This window comes from Homo sapiens, chromosome 12 (genome assembly GCF_000001405.40).
Source record: "Homo sapiens chromosome 12, GRCh38.p14 Primary Assembly".
Classification (NCBI taxonomy): domain Eukaryota; kingdom Metazoa; phylum Chordata; class Mammalia; order Primates; family Hominidae; genus Homo; species Homo sapiens.
The window spans coordinates 95,516,092-95,535,003 of NC_000012.12; the positions used below are offsets into that span (position 1 = coordinate 95,516,092).

General features: G+C 41.3%; 1 protein-coding gene across 28 annotated transcripts in view, besides 2 other annotated features; it reads right to left on the bottom strand.

Moving 5' to 3' along the window:
- USP44 (ubiquitin specific peptidase 44) overlaps positions 469-18,912 on the bottom strand; it is a 35,122-nt gene continuing 16,678 nt past the window's right edge. For 9 of the 28 annotated variants that reach the window (XM_011538803.1, XM_005269172.2, XM_011538800.3 and 6 more), the window contains 6 exons: positions 16,738-18,235; positions 12,716-12,911; positions 8,589-8,697; positions 5,934-6,026; positions 4,906-5,111; positions 469-2,262 (listed from right to left, as the gene is read on the bottom strand). In XM_011538803.1, the coding sequence (XP_011537105.1) occupies positions 2,063-2,262; positions 4,906-5,111; positions 5,934-6,026; positions 8,589-8,697; positions 12,716-12,911; positions 16,738-18,165 (2,232 nt within the window). In that variant the 5' untranslated portion in view covers positions 18,166-18,235 and the 3' untranslated portion in view covers positions 469-2,062. Of the gene's footprint in view, positions 2,263-4,905; positions 5,112-5,933; positions 6,027-7,214; positions 7,508-8,588; positions 8,698-12,715; positions 12,912-13,639; positions 13,968-16,737; positions 18,236-18,912 lie in introns of those variants that run through there. The other 19 variants (XM_047429645.1, NM_032147.5, XM_047429643.1 and 16 more) reach the window with 8 other exon arrangements.
- Positions 2,969-3,169: a silencer, noted in NCBI's record as "peak1899 fragment used in MPRA reporter construct". NCBI's record gives its function as "represses an SCP1 promoter by STARR-seq MPRAs in K562 erythroleukemia cells {active_cell/tissue: K562}" and the evidence as "EXISTENCE:reporter gene assay evidence [ECO:0000049][PMID:32103011]".
- Positions 6,591-7,091: an enhancer, noted in NCBI's record as "H3K27ac hESC enhancer chr12:95916458-95916958 (GRCh37/hg19 assembly coordinates)". NCBI's record gives its function as "activates a minimal SCP1, AML or CMV promoter by ChIP-STARR-seq in primed H9 embryonic stem cells {active_cell/tissue: H9 hESC(primed)}" and the evidence as "EXISTENCE:reporter gene assay evidence [ECO:0000049][PMID:30033119]".

An 18,912-nucleotide genomic window follows, 5' to 3' on the forward strand; every position in this document is an offset into this window, starting at 1 on the left:
GGCTAAGTCACTTTGTTTTTTTTTTTTTTTTTTTTTTTTTTTTTTTTAGCGGGAGTCTCGCTCTGTCACCCAGGCTGGAGTGCAGTGGCGCGATCTCAGCTCACTGCAGCCGGGTTCAAGCTATTCTCCTGCCTCAGCCTCCTGAGTAGCTGGACTATAGATGCATGCTACCACGCCTGGCTAATTTTTTTTTTTTTTGTATTTTTAGTAGAGATGGGGTTTCACTGTGTTAGCCAGGATGGTCTTGATCTCCTGACCTTGTGATCTGCCCGCCTCGGCCTTCCAAAGTGCTGGGATTACAGGCATGAGCCATGGCGTCCGGCCTCTTGTATGTTTTTATATTGAAATAAGTACAAGCAACGATACCATTACAAATAGCTCAGGAGTTTTTACAGTTCCATTAAAATGACGTGCTAAAATGTATAACGTTAAAAATAGTCCTTGAAATTAGAAAAGAGTAGACTCTGGTTATCTTGACCATGTAAATTTTTAATGAGGTATTAAGAAGTGTGTAACAGTTGAGGTAACAACTTGCATAGGTATTATGAACAATTTTAAACATAGCCATTTAATATTCCAGATGTATTTTCGGCACAAATGATTTGTCTATTCAGTGATAAAAGTCTCACTGCACCTCACTATCAGCTAACCCAGATGACTTGTTTTGTGAAATTTAAGAAAAATTTATTGGTAGAGACCTCTTTCAAGTTTGTACTTAACAGATGATCACTAGTGGTGAACAGCATTCTACAGGATACTATCTTTCACTAAGACTTCAACCTGCAAATAAACCCACTTATAAAAAAGGGATACATGATCTTCCTGTGGTTAACAGAGCTTAGATACATAGCTGGTCTACAGAGATTAGTTGATTCTACCCTCTCCAAATAAGATAAAGTTAGCAGCAACAGGACTTTAAAGAAACCCAGTGAGATTATCAGAAGAAGAAAAAGAGTGACTCACACTGTATTTTTTTTTGTGCAAGTTTAGATAGATAGCTTTTAGTTTTTTTTTTTTTTTTTAATGCTCAGGGCCAGTGTTTTAAGAGGCTCCTACCTAGTAGTCACATAATCCTAGCAAGAGTAAATCAAGCTTTAGTTATTTAGAATGAGATGCTAGACATAATAATAGTCCAGTTGCCAATTTTGAACACTTATCTTTTCTGCCCTATAATTTTTTCTCTTCAAGACTCTATTCCTTTGAACTAAAAAAAATACATAAAGTTTTAAGAGATCTAATGTCATCAGACATTATAAAATGAACTCATACCCAAGGTAAACTATTTGAATAACATCATACACTGGTTTACTAAATTCAGACTTTTTATGACTGCTTAATTATTAGACTTCTGGACAAACCTGTTTGCTGCCAGACAAAAATCATAAATCCCAGCCATCATTTTTTTCATGTCCATAGTTCCAGAGTTCACTTAAATATACTATTTGTAAAGCTGCCATTTTCATTTATAGTTTGACTATGCCAAAGAGCAATTACTAAAGCAATTTTGGGGTTACATTAACCAAAATAATGTCAATTACAAGGCCTGTTAACACACAAAGCCTCAGAAATACCAGTGAGTGTGACTGAAGAATATTTAGGTGATACCTTGACATGTCACTTCAATAACTCCAAGGGGCAAGGTAACTTCAATATACAAATGAAAGACTATTAGTGACCAAAGTAGAGTCTAATTTTCCATCTATTAAGAATTTGTATAGAAAATACCTGAAAAAGATACATGTATATAAAATGATGCCACTTGAACTTTGTTGGTAGAAGATTGCACAAGTTCATCATCCGAGCCAATTAAGACATAAAAATATAAAAGAGGTAACATCAGTCTGAGGTAAACACCAAAAGTTTAAAACTCCAAATATGAAAAAAGTAGTTACCTTCAGTTGATATATACATTTATACTTTGTAAAAAAAAAAATTGTTAGATATAAAATGTATAAATGTAGTATACACTGATTCACAAGAAAAAATGAAGTTTAAAATGGTACATCAGTCTTTTAAAAAGTATATATATAAATCACAGGAAGAAAACCCCATTGTCTTTGGATCAGCTAAGGATTTCATTAGACGAGGTATCAGCGTCTTCATTGGGATGTTGGCTCCCCAACAGGAGCTCTGGAGGCAAAAGTTTAGAATGTCCATTCTCAGTAACTCGTTGGGTATAAAACAAGATATAAGCTTGAGCCTTGCATACTTCATCCATAGTGCACATGCTTAGTTTGGAATCATTGCAGTGTACCCAGAACCCTAGAGTGAAGCACAGAAATACATTTATGAAGGGACTTTAGAAAATTCTAGTATGAAAGGCATTGAGTGAGAAGCTTTTTCTGAAGGGAAAATAATTTTCTAGCCAATTCATTTTTCTTTAATGAGAAATATAGATTGGGCAGTGTTACCCTGGAATTATCTACCTTTATTCTAAAAGTAGCTTAAGTTTTTCACAGCATGTGACTGATTAGAGTACCTGACACTATTTATTCTTTGTGTAAATCTACCAGTTAATGCTTTTGCCACTAATCATACAGGATGATCATCCCTAATTCCAAAATCTGGCCAGGCATGGTGGCTCATGCCTGTAATCCTAGCACTTTGGAAGGCCGAGGCAGGCAGATCACCTGAGGCCAGGAGTTAGAGACCAGCCTGGCCAACATGGTGAAACCTGTCTCTACTAAAAATACAAAAATTCGCCAGGCGTGGTGGTGCACACCTGAATTCCCAGCTACTCAGGAGGCTGAAGCAAGAGAATGGCTTGAACCTGGGAGGCAGAGGTTGCAGTGAGCAAGGATGGCGCAGCTTGCCCTCAAGCCTGGGTGATAGAGGGACTGTCTTAAAAAAAAAAATTCCAAACCAAAACTTTTTGTGCCAACATGATGTCATAAGTAACCCTGAACACATTTTTTTCCACTGTATTAATATTTTTTACTGTGAAACTTATGGGCACATAAGCATAATGCACTTATGTACATTACATGCACATAAGTATGCTAATGACTGCTTATATTAGCATATAAAAATCAGCCAGGAATTATGGTGATGCCAAACCACCAGACTGTCCATATGAGTGGCTGAGATAGTGACACCTTTGTTTGCTGATTGCTCAATGTACAAACTTTGTTATATGCACTCTGTTAATGAAACTGTTTCATTATTTAAAGTGTTGTATAAAATATTTAGGCTATGTGTACAAGGTGTATATGAAGCAAATGAATTTCATGTCTAAACCTGGGTCCCATCCTTACAATACCTCATAATGTCTATGCAAAAAAATCCAAAATTCAAAACACTTATGGTCCCGAGCATTTCAGACAAGGTATACTCAATCTGTATTTTTTTTTTTTTTTTTTTTTTTTTGAGATGGAGTCTCGCTCTGTCACCCAGGCTGGAGTACAGTGGCGCAGTCTCGGCTCACTGCAAGCTCCGCCTCCCGGGTTCACGCCATTCTCCTGCCTCAGCCTCTCCGAGTAGCTGGGACTACAGGCACCCGCCACCACGCCCGGCTAATTTTTTTTTTTTATTTTTAGTAGAGACGGGGTTTCACCGTGGTCTCGATCTCCTGACCTCGTGATCCACCCGCCTCGGCCTCCCAAAGTGCTGGGATTACAAGCGTGAGCCACCGCGCCCGGCCCTCAATCTGTATTAAAAGGCAAATTGGGTCGGGCATGGTGGCTCACGCCTGTAAACCCGGCACTTTGGGAGACCAAGGCTGACAGATCACTTAAGGCCAGGAGTTCAAGACCAGCCTGGCCAACATGGTGAAACCCCGTCTCTACTAAAAATACAAAAATTAGCCAGGCGTGGTGGTGCACACCTGCAATCCCAGCTACTTGGGAGGCGGAGGTTGCAGTGAGCCGAGATCATGCTGCTGTACTCTAGCCCAGGGGAAAGAGTGAGACTCTGTCTCAAAAAAAAAAAAAAAAAAAAAAAAAAAAAGCCAATAGTGTACAATTAACTTGGTAGTTTTTGGTAGCTCAGTGTTGAGTTACCCTGGTGGATTATTGGGCTTCTTGTCCTCACCTCTCTTTTTCTGTTTGGGCTGTGTTGGGTGGGGGTGGGGAGTTGGAGTTTCATTCTTTGTTCAACAGTAAGTATCAAAAGGGGAAGTAAGGCTGGGTGTGGTGGCTCATGCCTGTAATCCCACCACTTTGGGAGGCCGAGGCAGGCGCATCACAAGGTCAGGAGATTGAGACCATCCTGGCTAACATGGTGAAACCCCGTCTCTACTGAAAATACAAAAAATTATCCAGGCATGGTGGCATGTGCCTGTAGTCCCAACTACTTGGGAGGCTGAGGCAGGAGAATTGCTTGAACCCGGGAGGCAGAGGTTGCAGTGAGCTGAGATCGTCCCACTGCACTCCAGCCTGGGCGACAGAGCGAGACTCCATCTCACAAAAAAAAAAGGTGTTGGGGGGAGTAAAAAATAAAATCTCAATCCAATCACTTTTGCTAGAACTAGACTATCCTAGAAGGCAGAAAATAAGTGAGTTTTGTGTGTTAAACTTGAACGCAGTGTTTGTTCCAAATATCTATGATCCCCCAGTTCATTAGGTACCCTATTTCTTTAACGAAATTAACTGAAGTAAACCAGTAAACATACGATCTGCTTTTTGAAGTGTGTCTTTAAGAAAAGTTAACACTCTGACTTTTAGTTAGCAACAAGACTATCCTCATTATTATATCCCTCCAGCCCTTAGTCAAAAGTACTGCAAAACCTACAGAAAATATTTCATGCATTAACTCTCATTTTTTAGTACCTGCAGAGGCATTCTCCCTAAGAAAATAAGTGGTCGAGTAGCTTTGTTTATGATTTAGTAGTCAATTTAGAAATCGGTTAAAGCCTGAACTCCAGCCTCCAAGTCCAACCCAAGATAAAATACTTTTTCTTATCTATACCTCCTTCAGAATTATAGCAGTAGGCAGTGTAGTGCCCTGAGCCAAATCCTTTCCCATGGTGCATCACCACCGCGGACAAGTCATAGATAAAGCATTCTGGTCTGAGGGATTTCAGGGTCTCCCTGCAGCAATAGGGCTCCATGTTTAAGATTTCCTCAAAGCCAACATGAACACCAATCTTCTCTCGGTTATTACGTCCTGACCACCTGTGAACAAACCAGTGTAAAATTATCCACACAATTAAGGGAAAATAACCACGTACTAGGTCTAGACACTTGTAACAGATGACCCCAGGCAGCATGGAATACAAAGTATCATATGTAATATAAAATGATGTCAATGCTGAAGCTGGCTATAAATGGAGACATTTTGGCTTATTTTGCCTTCTTGTAGTTAGATGATAATGTAGGAAAAAAAAATTTAACTTTTGGGAAAGTATTGCCTTATGGGGGCATTTACCCCCTAACAGGTAAAAGTCAAGGCCACGAAAGGGTTGGGGATTTTTTTGTTTTTTGTTGTTTTTGAGACGGAGTCTTGCTCTGTTACCTAGGCTGGAGTGCAGTGGTGCGATCTTGGCTTACTGCAGCCTCTGCCTCTCAGGTTCAAGCCATTTTCCTGCTGGGACTGCAGCTGTGTGCCATCATGCCTGGCTAATTTTTGTATTTTTAGTAGTAGAGACAGGACTTTATCATGTTGGCCAGGCTGGTCTTGAACTCCTGACTGCAAGTGATCCTCCTGCCTTGGCCTTCCAAAGCGCTGGGATTACAGGTGTGAGCCACTGTGCCCAGCCCCACCGAAGGGTTTTTAATTCCTTACTGTCTTGCCAGGATATGAAGAGGGTTATCCCAGATGGGAGCTACAATCTGGATCTTTCTTGGCCAGGTATGGAGGAAAACAAAACAGGGCATCTCTATTTCCTCAGAACACTTCAGAGATTTTCAGACTAAAACAACAGGAACTGTGTCCCCTCGCTGTGTGTAAGTCAGCACAACCGCCCATTGGTGACAGAACTGAAAGAATGCCCTTACCCTGTTATTTTCTCAGTCTGCTGGTCATACTTCCCATTACTGGATCTCAGCATGGCAAGCAATGTGTTTATCAATATGCATAATGAGTTGGTGCTACGAGGGGAAAATAATGTAACATGGTAGTTCAAGAGATTATAATCCAGTTTGGGGTAGTATGGTAGAGAGACAAGGCAGACATAGATAAAAATATAGTAGTAAAGTACTAAAACATGAGGTTCAGACCAATAGCAGGTAGAGAAGGGAGAGACAAGAACATAGTTTTATGATGGAAAAAAAAAAGTGAAAATGCTTAGTCCAGTGTAAAATGGCACGGAACTAAAGATGAACCATTCAAATTATGTTATCTGCTGGACCATAAGTCATATTCCAATCTCTCTGTGGGGTTGTGAAATATATATTTGGTTTTCCTTCCAGTTTCCTCAGATACATCTCCTAAAATTTTTGGAATCTCTGGAGTGATGAGAGTGTCTTGGTTGGCCGTGGTGGCTCACGCCTGTAATCCCAGCACCTTGGGAGGCCGAGGTGGGTGGATCACCTGAGGTCAGGAGTTCAAGACCAGCCTGGCTAACATGGTGAAACCCCGTCTCTACTAAAAATACAAAAATTAGCCAGGCTTGATGGTGCATACCTGTAATACCAGTTACTGGGGAGGCTGAGGCAGGAGAATCGCTTGAACCCGGGACGCAGAGGTTGCAGTGAGCTGAGATTGCGCCATTGCACTCCAGCCTAGGCGACAAGAGCGAAATTCTGGCTCAAAAAAAAAAAAAAAAAAAAAAGTGTGTCTTTTGTATGCTAATGAGACAACTAGTGGCTGGCAACCCCTAGATAGCTTCAGGATGTGGGCAAGTCACAGGAAAGACCCGGGAATGACTAGAGGATTGGGACTTTCAGCTTCCTTCCAAACACTGCCCCCAACCCCCAAAGGGAATGGGGCTGAATGATGTAATCAGTCATGCCTATGTACTGAAGCCTCCATAAAAACCCAAAAGGATGGGCTTCTGGAGCTTCCGGATAGCTAACCATGCTGAAGTCCCCAGAGGGCAGCACCCCCAGGGAGGGTGTGGAACCTATATGCCCCTTCCCACAAGCCATGCCCTACACATGACTTCCATCTGGCTGTTCATATGGATCCTTGAAACTCTCCTTTGTAATAAATGGGTAAACACAAAGGTTTCCCTGAGTTCTGTGGGGGCCCTCTGGAAAATTAATCAAACCAGGGGAGCAGCTTGTGGGAATCCCATTACATTTACAGCCAACAGGTTGGTCACAATTTCCACAAACCTGGAGTTATGACTGGGGTCTGAAGTGGGGGTCAGTCTTGTGGGACTGAGCTCTCCATCTGTGGGATCTGATGCTACCTCCAGGTAGACAGTGTCAGAACTAAATTGAATTAGAGGACACCCAGCTCGCATCCACTGCAGAACTGATGACTTGCTTGGTGGGGAGAAATCTCCTACACATTTTGGTAAGCAGAGGTCACATTCGTATTCTCTGTTGTAAGAGTATGGTAGGAGAAACTGAGTTCGGTTTTTCCAATATCTCTCAGCCAGGTGCGGTGGCTCACGCCTGTAATCCTAGCACATTGGAAAGCTGAGGTGAGCAGATTGCCTGAGCTCAGGAGTTTCCAGATTAGCCTGGGCAACATGGCAAAACCCTGTCTCTACCAAAAAAAAAAAAAAAAAGAGATACAATAAACTGATAAAGAACAATAAGGTAACACTATACTCAAAATTCATAATGGTTTGCTTCTGAAGAGGGGAAAGGAACAAGATTGACAGGCACACACAGGGGACATCAAAGGTATTAGAAATATTCTGCTGGGCACGGTGGCTCACACCTGTCATCTCAACATTTTTCTTTTTTTTTTCTTGAGACAGAGTCTCGCTCTGTCACTCAGGCTAGAGTGCAATGGTATGATGTTGGCTCACTGCAACCTCTGCCTCCAGGGTTCAAGTGATTCTCCTGTCTCAGCCTCCCAAGTAGCTGGAATTACAGGCGTGTGTCACCACGCCTGGCTAATTTTTGTATTTTTATTTTTATGTTTATGTATGTATGTACGTACATATGTATGTTTGAGATGGAGTCTCACTCTGTCGCCCAGGCTGGAGTGCAACAGTGCGATATCGGCTCACTGCAACCTCTACTTCCCAGGTTCAAGCGATTCTCCCGACTCAGCCTCCTGAGCAGCTAGGATTACAGGCATGCGCCACCATGCCCGGCTACAGTTTTGTATTTTTAGTAGAGATGGGGTTTCACCATGTTGGCCAGGCTAGTCTCGAACTCCTAACCTCAGGTGATCCACCTGCCTCGGCCTCCCAAAGTGCTGGGATTACAGGTGTGAGCCACCTTGCCCGGCCAGCACTTTGGGAGGCCCATGTGGGTGGATCGCTTGAGCCCAGGAGTTTGAGACCAGCCTGGGCAACATGGTAAAACCCTATCGCCAGCCTAGGTGACAGAGTGAGACTCGATCTCTAAATAAATAAACAAATAAGCAAATGTAAGTCATTTACTAGCCAAGTATATGATATTAAAAGTTAATTCATTTGTCAGAAAGGTGATTAAAGTAAGGGGAAAAAATTATAACATGCATTCTTTAAGTTTTGAAGCATTATAAGCACAAGGAATGATAACTTTGCAACTGGTCCTACTACAGACCTGAATCGTTTGAGGTGCAGTCTGAGAACCTGAGGTAGGTGGCATATCATAAGTTGTTTCTGGGCTTCTGTGAGTACAACTGGTTTGGAGGAAAACCTTCTACGCTTTGCTGTAACATCAAAGAAAGAATAAAAATCAAATTTCATTTAAAGATTCAGGGAAAAGCTGAGTGAACCTTCTTTTTAATTAAGTCAGAAATGAAAAGTATGTACTGTGTTCCAGGCATTGTACTGTGCTAGAGATAGACATGGGCTTTGCCCTCAAGAAACTCATGATCCACAATTAACCAAAAAACTTAGGAGCTAGTCAAGTTAGACAGATCTGTAATCAAGTACATGATTTAATAATAATCTTGCATATAATGTGATAGAACAAAGTATACTGCTATAATATTTTTATTTATTTATTTAGAGACAGAATCTCACTCTGTTGCCCAGGCTGGAGTGCAGTGGCACAATCTCGGCTCACCACAACCTCCGCCTCCTGGGTTCAAGCAATTCTCCTGCCTCAGCCTCCCATGTAACTGGGACTATAGGTGCGTGCCACCATGCCCGGCTAATTTTTGTATTTTTAGTAGAGACGGGGTTTCACTATGTTGGCCAGGCTGGTCTCGAACTCCTGACATTGTGATCCACCTGCCTCGTCCTCCTAAAGTGCTGGGATTACAGGCATGAGCCACTGCACCCAGCCATAATAATATTTTTAAATGGAACTGGCTATACCAATTAATAGGAAAAGTTACAACATTCCCTAAACATTTTAATATACATTTCCCAAACTCTTAATTTAAAAGTTTGTGGTCAAAAGATTTAAAAAAGAAAAAAGAAAAAAAAAGTGAGTGGTCAGTTCATTTACCAAGGCTAGTCAGAAACCCAGAGGAAGGTCCTGATTGCCCAGAACATCCCTCCACTTTTCCTGGGGACCACCTCAGCCCTGGCCAACGGCCTAGGAAAGCAGGACTTTACCAGTTCTGAGGCCTCCCTCACTCAAGCGTTTTGCTTTTGCTCTTTTAGCACTAGATCTTAGACAGCTGGAACTCAGGATTCTTCTTGTTGTCCCTTCTGCTTCCCTAGAGGTCCACCTATGGACTGTCCTGGAGCTGGGCCATCAGCTACAGTTTGCTCCTGATGTCCAGGAGCTATCCTTCAACTTGTACACCAGCTCCGACTCCAGCCATGGCAGCAGCTGCTTCTCATGTGGGAAGCAGGCTCAGTCCACCATGAAGCTGAGCTCTAAGCCACCTTCGCTGGCCTTTCTTCCAGGTGTCTAACCCTGCGATCCAGGTATCTGGCTGCTGCTGAATGTCCTGGACCTACCTCTGGATTGTCTCCTAGCACATCGGTCCAAGGGTAGCCAGATAGGGGATATCAACTCCTCGGCATATAATTGTAAACATTTGCACTGCTGTGTTAAAGCAGCTCTTTTAGGCCTGTATTTGGTAGCTTTAGTAAACACATAGAAATTTGCTATAAAACCATATTCTGCATTCATAACATCACCCCCAAATTTGGTGATGAAAGCATTTGGCACTCACCACATTTATGTCCAAGAAAAAATAATACTTCATCATAACAACTTTGACAAAGATTTATTTTTTAAAAAAACCTTATAGGCCGGGCGCGGTGGCTCGCGCCTGTAATCCCAGCGCTTTGGAAGGCAGAGGCGGGTGGATCACGAGGTCAGGAGATCGAGACCATCCTGGCTAACACGGTGAAACCCTGTCTCTACTAAAAATACAAAAAATTAGCCAGGCGTGGTGGCGGGCGCCTGTAGTCCCAGCTACTCGGGAGGCTGAGGCAGGAGAATGGCCTGAACCCAGGAGGCGGAGCTTGCAGTGAGCCGAGACTGTGCCACTGCACTCCAGCATGGGTGACAGAGCGAGATTCTGTCTCAAAAAAACAACAAAAAAAAACCTTATAAATTTAAGGCTACTTTATGCGTTCACATTAGACAGCACTTATACAAAAGTGTTAAAGTCATTCCAGGAAACCATCAATTGATATAACATTTCTTCAATGTGGGAATATCCTATTTTTTGTTTACCTTAAAAGTTTAGTTATTTAAAGCCTTAGAATCTATTTGCGAGATAGGGAAATTAGGGAGAATACCTGAAAAAATATATATAGCATAGTATAAACTATAGCATAGTTTACTATACACTACACTATACTACACTATATGTTTATATAGTATAAATACTAAGATGCTATGTAAGTATATCTTATTCTTTTTTTTAATTTCAATAGGTTTTTGGGGAACAGGTGGTGTTTGGTTACATAAATAAGTTCTGTAGTGGTGATTTCTGAGATTTTGGTGCACCCAACACCTGAGCAGGGTACACTGTACCCAATGTGTAGCATTTTATCCCTCACCCCTCCCACCCTCTCCCCTGAATCTGTAAAGTCCACTGGATCATTCTTTTTTTTTTTTTTTGAGACAGAGTCTCGCACTGTTGCCTAGGCTGGAGTGGAATGGCGCGATCTCGGCTCACTGCAACCTCCCCCTCCCAGGTTCAGGTGATTCTCCTGCCTCGGCCTCTTGAATAGCTGGGATTACAGGCGCACGCCACCATGCCCAGCTAATTTTTGTATTTTTAGTAGAGATGGGGTTTCACCATGTTGGCCAGGCTGGTCTCGAACTCCTGACCTCAGGTGATCTGCCCACCTCAGCCTCCCAAAGTGCTGGGATTACAGGTGTGAGCCACTGTGCCCAGCCCACACTCGATCATTATTATGCCTTTGCATCCTCATAGCTTAACTCCCACTACATATACACATCAACAGAGGAAATAAAGACACAGTAGATGTTTTTGTGTGTTTTTTTGAGACAGAGGCTTGTTCTGTCATCCAGGAAGGAGTGCAGTGGCACGATCTTGGCTCACTGCAACCTCCGCCTCCTGGGTTCAAGAGATTCTCCTGCCTCAGCCTCCCAAGTAGCTGGGATTACAGATGCACTCCACCACACCCGGCTAATTTCTATATTTTTAGTAGAGATGGGGTTTCGCCATGTTGGCCAGGCTGGTCTTGAACTCCTGACCTCAAGCGATCCACCTGCCTCGGCCTCCCAAAGTGTTAGGATTACAGGCGTAAGCCACCGCACCTGGCCAACACAGCAGATCTGATGTGGTTTTATACACTGTTTCCTTGGAGGAAGATGCTTTTTTTTTTTTTTTTTTTTTTGAGACAGAGTTTCACTCTTGCTCAGGCTGGAGTGCAGTGGCACAATCTCAGCTCACTGCAACCTCTGCCTCCTGGGTTCAAGCAATTCTCCTGCCTCAGCCTCCCGAGTAGCTGGGATTACAAGTGCGTGCCACCATGCCCAGCTAATTTTTGTATTTTTAGGAGAGACGAGGTTTCACCACATTGGCCAGGCTGGGCTTGAACTCCTGACCTCAGGTGATCTGCCCACCTCGGCCTCCCAACGTGGTAGGATTACAGGCGTGAGCCACTGCACCTGGCCGAAGACGCTTCTCTTTTAACTGAAGTGGCTGTTTCACCCCCAGTGTCAGGTTCCTGTGCTCTCCTCCATTAGAGCACTTATCATAGTGGATCCTGTCTATCTGCTTCCTCCATTAGGAATGTAAGCACCTTGACAGTATCTCACCTCTATCTATAGACACTGGGAATAACTAACACAGAAGAGACAGTGCATGGTTTTGAATAAATCTTTGTTTTGATGAAGCCAATCTCCACAGCAGCAGTCCTGCATATATTATTTCCTATTTTATGTATATAGACATACACACACGCATTTATCTACATATCACTTTGATATGTAGCCAAAAAAGCTCATAAAGCAAGTGTTTCATTCATGCTACATGACATGCTTTCCTTTCATTATTCCTCTTTGCTACTTTATTTTGCTCCACATATCATATTTAAACTTGTTATGAATCTTCTCTCTCCAAAATTGTCTACAAGATCAGAAACAATTTAAATTCCATCAATATGGCCAAACAAATGCATAGTTCATAAATGCCAATTATAAAGTGAAAACGTCTGTTTCTTTTGATGAACTGAAAAAAAGTTCATTTTCATAACTGCTAAAGATTTCTTTCAGCTTCCTCTCATCTGCGTTTCTCTTTATCATTCCTAGGAAAGCACCAAGAACACAACGTCTTTACTCACAGTTACACTGGTCACATACGTAGATTTTTCCTTCTAAAGCTTCAGTTTCTGTAAATTTGGCCAACATTTCAGTAACCAGACATGGCTGGGAAGCAATATCTTTTCCACTGCATTGATACCTTTCTGGAAACTCCAATGACAAGTCCCAGAAAGGTTCTATGGTATTTGATTTGTTGTCACATGCAAGACATGTAACCTGCAAATGAGAATATGAGTTCCTAAGATTATAATCTTTCCATCAAAACATTAACTCTTTTCACTAGAGGTCACTGCCACTAAATAAACTTTTCTCATGAAAATGCACCATTAGGATTCTGAATAATCTGCTTTATATTCTTGTCAGGAAATCTTTCATTATGATTTTTCCTTCCAAAAGATTGTTATCAGAGCCATCATGAATTGGTTGCTTTAACTACTGGGCATTCAAAAAGCTCTAAGGGCATTAAATTTAGGTAAAAATCCAAACTGTGGACACACTGAATAGAAACACACTATGTATACATATATACATATATACATATATCTATGTATACATAGATATATACATATGATGTACATTCACATGCATTAAGTTTAATGTATTTATGTCATTAGGCTTGAGGTTCCTCACTGTTTCTTTCATCTTTTTTTTTTTTGAGATGGAGTCTCGCTCTGTCCCCAGTGCTAGGGTGCAATGGCGCAATCTCGGCTCACTGCAACCTCTGGCTCTTAGGTTCCAGCGATTCTCCTGCCTCAGCCTCCTGAGTAGCTGGACTACAGGTGCCAGCTACCACGCCTAGCTAATTTTTCTATTTTTAGTAAACGGGCTTTCGCCATGTTGGCCAGGATGGTCTTGAACTCCTGACTTTAGGCGATCCGCCCACCTCGGCCTGCCAAAGTGCTGGGATTACAGGCGTGAGCCACCATGCCCGGCCTCTCCTTCATCTTTTGCTGATTTTTCTTCCTAACCCCAAATCCTATAACCTCTTAACCCAATCCAATCTTAACCATATTACAAGTAAAATACTATCTTTTCATTATGCAGATTTTAAGGCCCTGACAACTGATAATTTCAAAAGACAAGATATATGACATAAATAATGATGTCATACTCCTACTTAAAGCAAACATAACATTAAAATCCCCATCCAAACACAGAAAACACGAAAAACATGGAGCTGTTTTAACAACTTACATAGGCAATGTAGCAACCGGAAAGGAAATGAATAGTAACTTCAGTGAAACATTCAGCAGGATTTAATGCCAACAAACACTGCACATAATTGAAGACAGACTCCATGAACTAACAATTCACATATGATATGAAATATTATAAAGAACCTCTTTCATACAAGCTATAGTCCTGGCACAGGCAACAAAATAAAGAAGCCAGTTGTAATACAGATTTTAGATTTCACAAATTGACACAAAGAACTCTCCTGGCGTTTATAGTCTAAGGACTCAGTAGTGCCAGGGCCAGACATTTTGAGAATTTTCTTGAATTAAACAAAAAAAACAAAAACAAAAGCAAAAACACACAAAAAGCCATCCCAGTCTGGGTGTAGTGGCTCATGCCTGTAATCCCAGCACTTTGAGAGGCCAAAGCGGGAGGGCTGCTTGAGCCCAGGAGTTTGAGACCAGCCTGGGCAACACAGTGAGACCTTGTCTCTATAAAAAAAATAAAAAATAGAAAGGAAAAGCCATTACAGCAACCAACTGTCTTAAATCTCCTGAGAACCAGTTCCCTAAGAGTGTATTAAAGAAAGAGAAGCAAAAAGCTGGTACAATAATTTTTATTAATTTGAAAATACATTTATAAAGGAAAAAATAAGCACATAGCAACTTTCATACTACTGGAAATATAGATAGATAGATAGATAGATAGATAGATAGATAGATAGATAGATATAAAAGAAAAACACTTTCTGGAAAGAACTTTGTCACCAAGTATCAGAAGTCTTACTCTGACAAAGTCAACTTCTAAGACTCTGTCATAAGGAAGTCAGAAAAATTAATTGATGACATTATAATAATGAAAAAAATTAAAAACAGTCAACAATAGGGGAATGGTTAAGTTACGGTATAAACATACGATGTGGCCAGGAGCAGTGGCTCATGCCTGTAATCCCAGCACTTTGGGAGGCCGAGGCGCGTGGATCACAAGGTCAGGAGATCGAGACCATCCTGGCTAACATGGTGAAACCCCGTCTCTACTAAAAACACAAAAAATTGGCTGGGTGTGGTGGCAGGCGCCTGTAGTCCCAGCTACTTGGGAGGCTGAGGCAGGAGAATGGCGTGAACCCAGCAGGTGGAGCTTGCAGTGAGCCGAGATCGCGCCACTGCACTCCAGCCTGGGCAACAGAGTGAGACTCTGTCTCAAAAAAACAAAAACAAAAACAAAAAAAAACATATGATGTTAAATAGCAGACATATACCAAAAAAAACACACAAAAAAATTATGAACATTGAAATGTTTTGAAAAGAATGATGAAATATTTTTAATTATTGGAAAATAATTACAATATTAAATGGGAAAAGCAGATAAATGCAAAATGACCAATTATGGGAAAAAATATTTATACATGTGCAGGAGAAAAAAAGACTAGAAAATATACCAAAATATAAATAGTTTTACCAATGGATTGTGGGGTTATAGGATTAGAGAATGATTTTTCTTTCCTTCTATATAGATTTCCTATATTATATAGGTTTCCTGCAACTATATGTTGCACTCTGTAACAGTGTATTTTAAAACTTTTGCATAAAAAGGAAATGACAGAGAAAGATGGAGAAGTAAAATTGCAGTACAATTCTTATTTGCTAATTGACACAAAATCTTTGCATTTCTGAAACACTGAAAAATAAACTTCATAGATATTCCTTAAGAAGAATTACATCTGAAATACTTAAACAACATTTTAGGAAAGTATGCTATAAAAACAAAAGATGGCCTTATTACAATGCAAGTTGAACTGAAGAACAGAGGCAGGTGTGCAGGGGGAAGGAAATGACCTAAAAGCCTAATAGCCTCAGTTATAAAAAAAATTTTGTTTAAATTTGTGTGTTATGGGAAAGTAGAGAACCTTATGTCTATTAACAGTTCACCAATAAGTCCACTCAGTATAGAGAACCTTTACTTCGAAGATTCTGGTTTTATAGTCCACCTTATCATGACAAAGGAAACTTTTGAGTAGTAATTAAAATAAAGGAAAATCATATAAGATTATTCTAGATGAAATCACATTTGTTTACCTTAAAATTTCCCTACCTACTTGTTAAAGCTCTCAGACCATGACCCTTTGATTTTATAGGAAGTCCTCCAGGGCTACTCCTTGGTCCCTGAAATTGCTCAAGTGTGCACCATTTTCTTTCTTTCTTTGGGTTTTTTTTTTTTTTTTTTGAGACGGAGTCTCGCTCTGTCACCCAGGCTGGAGTGCAGTGGTGTGATTTCAGCTCATTGCAACCTCCACCTCCTGGGTTCAAGCGATTCTCCTGACTCAGCCTCCCAAGTAGCTGAGATTACAGGCGTCTGCCACCACACTCAGCTAGCTTTTGTATTTTTAGTAGAGATGGGGTTACACCATGTTGGTCAGGCTGGTCTTGAACTCCTGACTTCAGCTGATCTACCCGCCTTGGCTTCCCAAAGTGCTGGGATTATAGGTGTGAGCCCCCACGCCCGGCCATGTGCACCATTTTCATCCCGAGAATAGCAGCATCTTTAAATCCGTTCCCTCTGGGATTAAACCCTCCTCTTCTCAATCCCTCAGATAATGAATGTAATATTGGTAACCTAGAGAGCTCCGTCTCCTGATTTCTCCCTCCCTCCAAAAGCTTTTGCTACCATAGATGTAAAACTACTTCCAATGATTCATGAAAGAAGGAATTGAGTGAGCTGATTTCTCTATACATATTTATAAAAACAATCTATTTTGACCTGAAAATGGTACTAGCTCAACACACTAGATGTACATAGAATATGCCTTTTTATAGGCTACACTTTATGAACTCCCAATGATGAAAATAAGATTCTTAAAAATCCATACCTGACTAAGAAGTTGTCCATGAAAAATGTTATTTACAACATTCAGAACTTGTTTGATGAGTTTCCTTTGAGAAGTGGGGATAAGAGCTGGTAAACTGGTACCAGTTGTCTCTAATTCACGTTGTATTTTATCTAAAAGTTCACAAAGAAATTCCTGAGCGTCTTGTTGGGCGTAACCACGAAAGGCAGGAATGAGTCTCCACACTGAGTGTAGCATAGCAAATGGTGAGACCAACGCCCACTTTCCAGACCACATGACTTGGAACAAAGTATGCAATTCATGACAAAGAGAAATGTACTGTGAAGTTGGCTCCTTTGGCTGAATAAGTTCCATCTTTCTACCTTTTGATGCTCCACCACTTAGTCCTGATGACAGACTTGATTGTCTGGAGCAAACAAAACCTGTATCTTTTTCCTGACATTCATTCATTTGATATACTACTGTATCTGTGACTGGTGGATGCTTACAAGATCTTGTCTTCTCGCTAGCAGTCATAGCCAGCCATTGGTTCAGATCAAGCTTTAAAAAACATTGTCGAAAAATAAGTAAATGACTCAACACCTGAAGAACAGAATTCATATAGCAAGTATTTCCCAAATTTCTCAATCCTGTTACACCAGGAGTTACTATTGGCCTTCGTTTAACTGAGGAGTCACTGACTTTTTGAGATATTTCATTTTCTGAGGTAGAGAGTACTTTATCTTTTGCTGGTGATGCTGGCGTTTGTGCTGGCACCTGAACAGAAACTATTTCTATTATGGTCGACTGAGCGAGCCCTTGTAAACGTAAACTCTTTCTTGGAGGCATACTTTCCAATTCTGCTTTAACTTGATACTCCAATTCCTGCCGTCTTTTCTTTACTTCTCTTTTTACTACTATTTTTTCCTGAAATGGTTCTTCTTGCTTTTTTCTTCCAATGGGTGATTGTTCAAACCATGTTCGAAAGATTTTACCCATTAGTATCCTTCTCCTGTGCCAAAGAGCAGTATACAGTTGATCTTCACTTTGAAGCAGAGATTGGGCACCGTCATGTAAGAAATAAGAATCATCACCTGTACCCATGGACCGTAAAAACCTCCCACTACGAGTTGTGCAGTGATAATTTTGACTTTTGATGGCACTTAATGTACGTCGTAGTAACTTCAGGTCTCCAGTTGTGTTATCATTCAGAACATAATCATCACAAAGGTAACAAAAAACGTACATCTCATTCACCTCCAATGCAACAGGATGACTGCTTTCTTGAAAGTGCTTGAGTGCATGCTCTTCAATATATCTTCCACAGGCAACATGGGAGCAGCTAAGGCAAGCCCAAATGGACTCGGTCGTGTTGCAGTCCACACAGTGCCATTTCTGAGGGTTGAGGCTGGAATGGTCTTGAGCAAGCTGCAGCTGCCCAACATGTTTGCACGTATCCATTGCTAGCATTTATTTAGTCTAGCTGAGAAATGCATAATCCAAACAAGTCTCTGTTCACAACACTTGAAGCATCTGAAAACTAAACAGAACAATGTCAAGTGTTAATAACAAGATGCTAATATTTTTCATATTTTTTCCCAAGAATAATAAAGATTTGTGTCCTCTGCTCCCAATTTCTAGGCTGCTTATCATAATACCATTGGCAGTTCTCCCATTTCCCTTTCTCTAAACTTCCCTAACCTCACATCCACCTTGCTCTGAAAGCACAGACACTTCACTTTCTCTAATGAGGCGCCTTTAGCTTTTGTTTTTAACTTTCTGCCACCATCTAGTGGTGAAAAATGGGTAGTAATCACTTTCCACTGAAATAGCTTAAGATCTATCCTTTTTTACCCAGTAGTCTGAGGGCAGTTTCCAAAACTGCATTCCCTTTTTTTTTTTTTTTTGAGACAGAGTCTTGCTCTGTGGCCCAGGCTGGAGTGCAGTGGTGCGATCTCAGCTCACTGCAACCCCTGCCTCCTGGGCTCACGTGATTGCTGTGCCTCAGCCTCCCGGGTAGCTGGGATTATAGGAGTGCACCACCACATTCAGCTAATCTGTTTTTCGTATTTTTACTAGAGACAAGGTTTCGTCATGTTGCCCAGGCTGGTCTTGAACTCCTGAGCTCGGGTCATCTACCCGCCTTGGCCTCCCAAAGTGCTGGGATTACAGGCGTGAACCACTGTGCCTGGCCCCTTTTCTTAATGACAGGGGTTG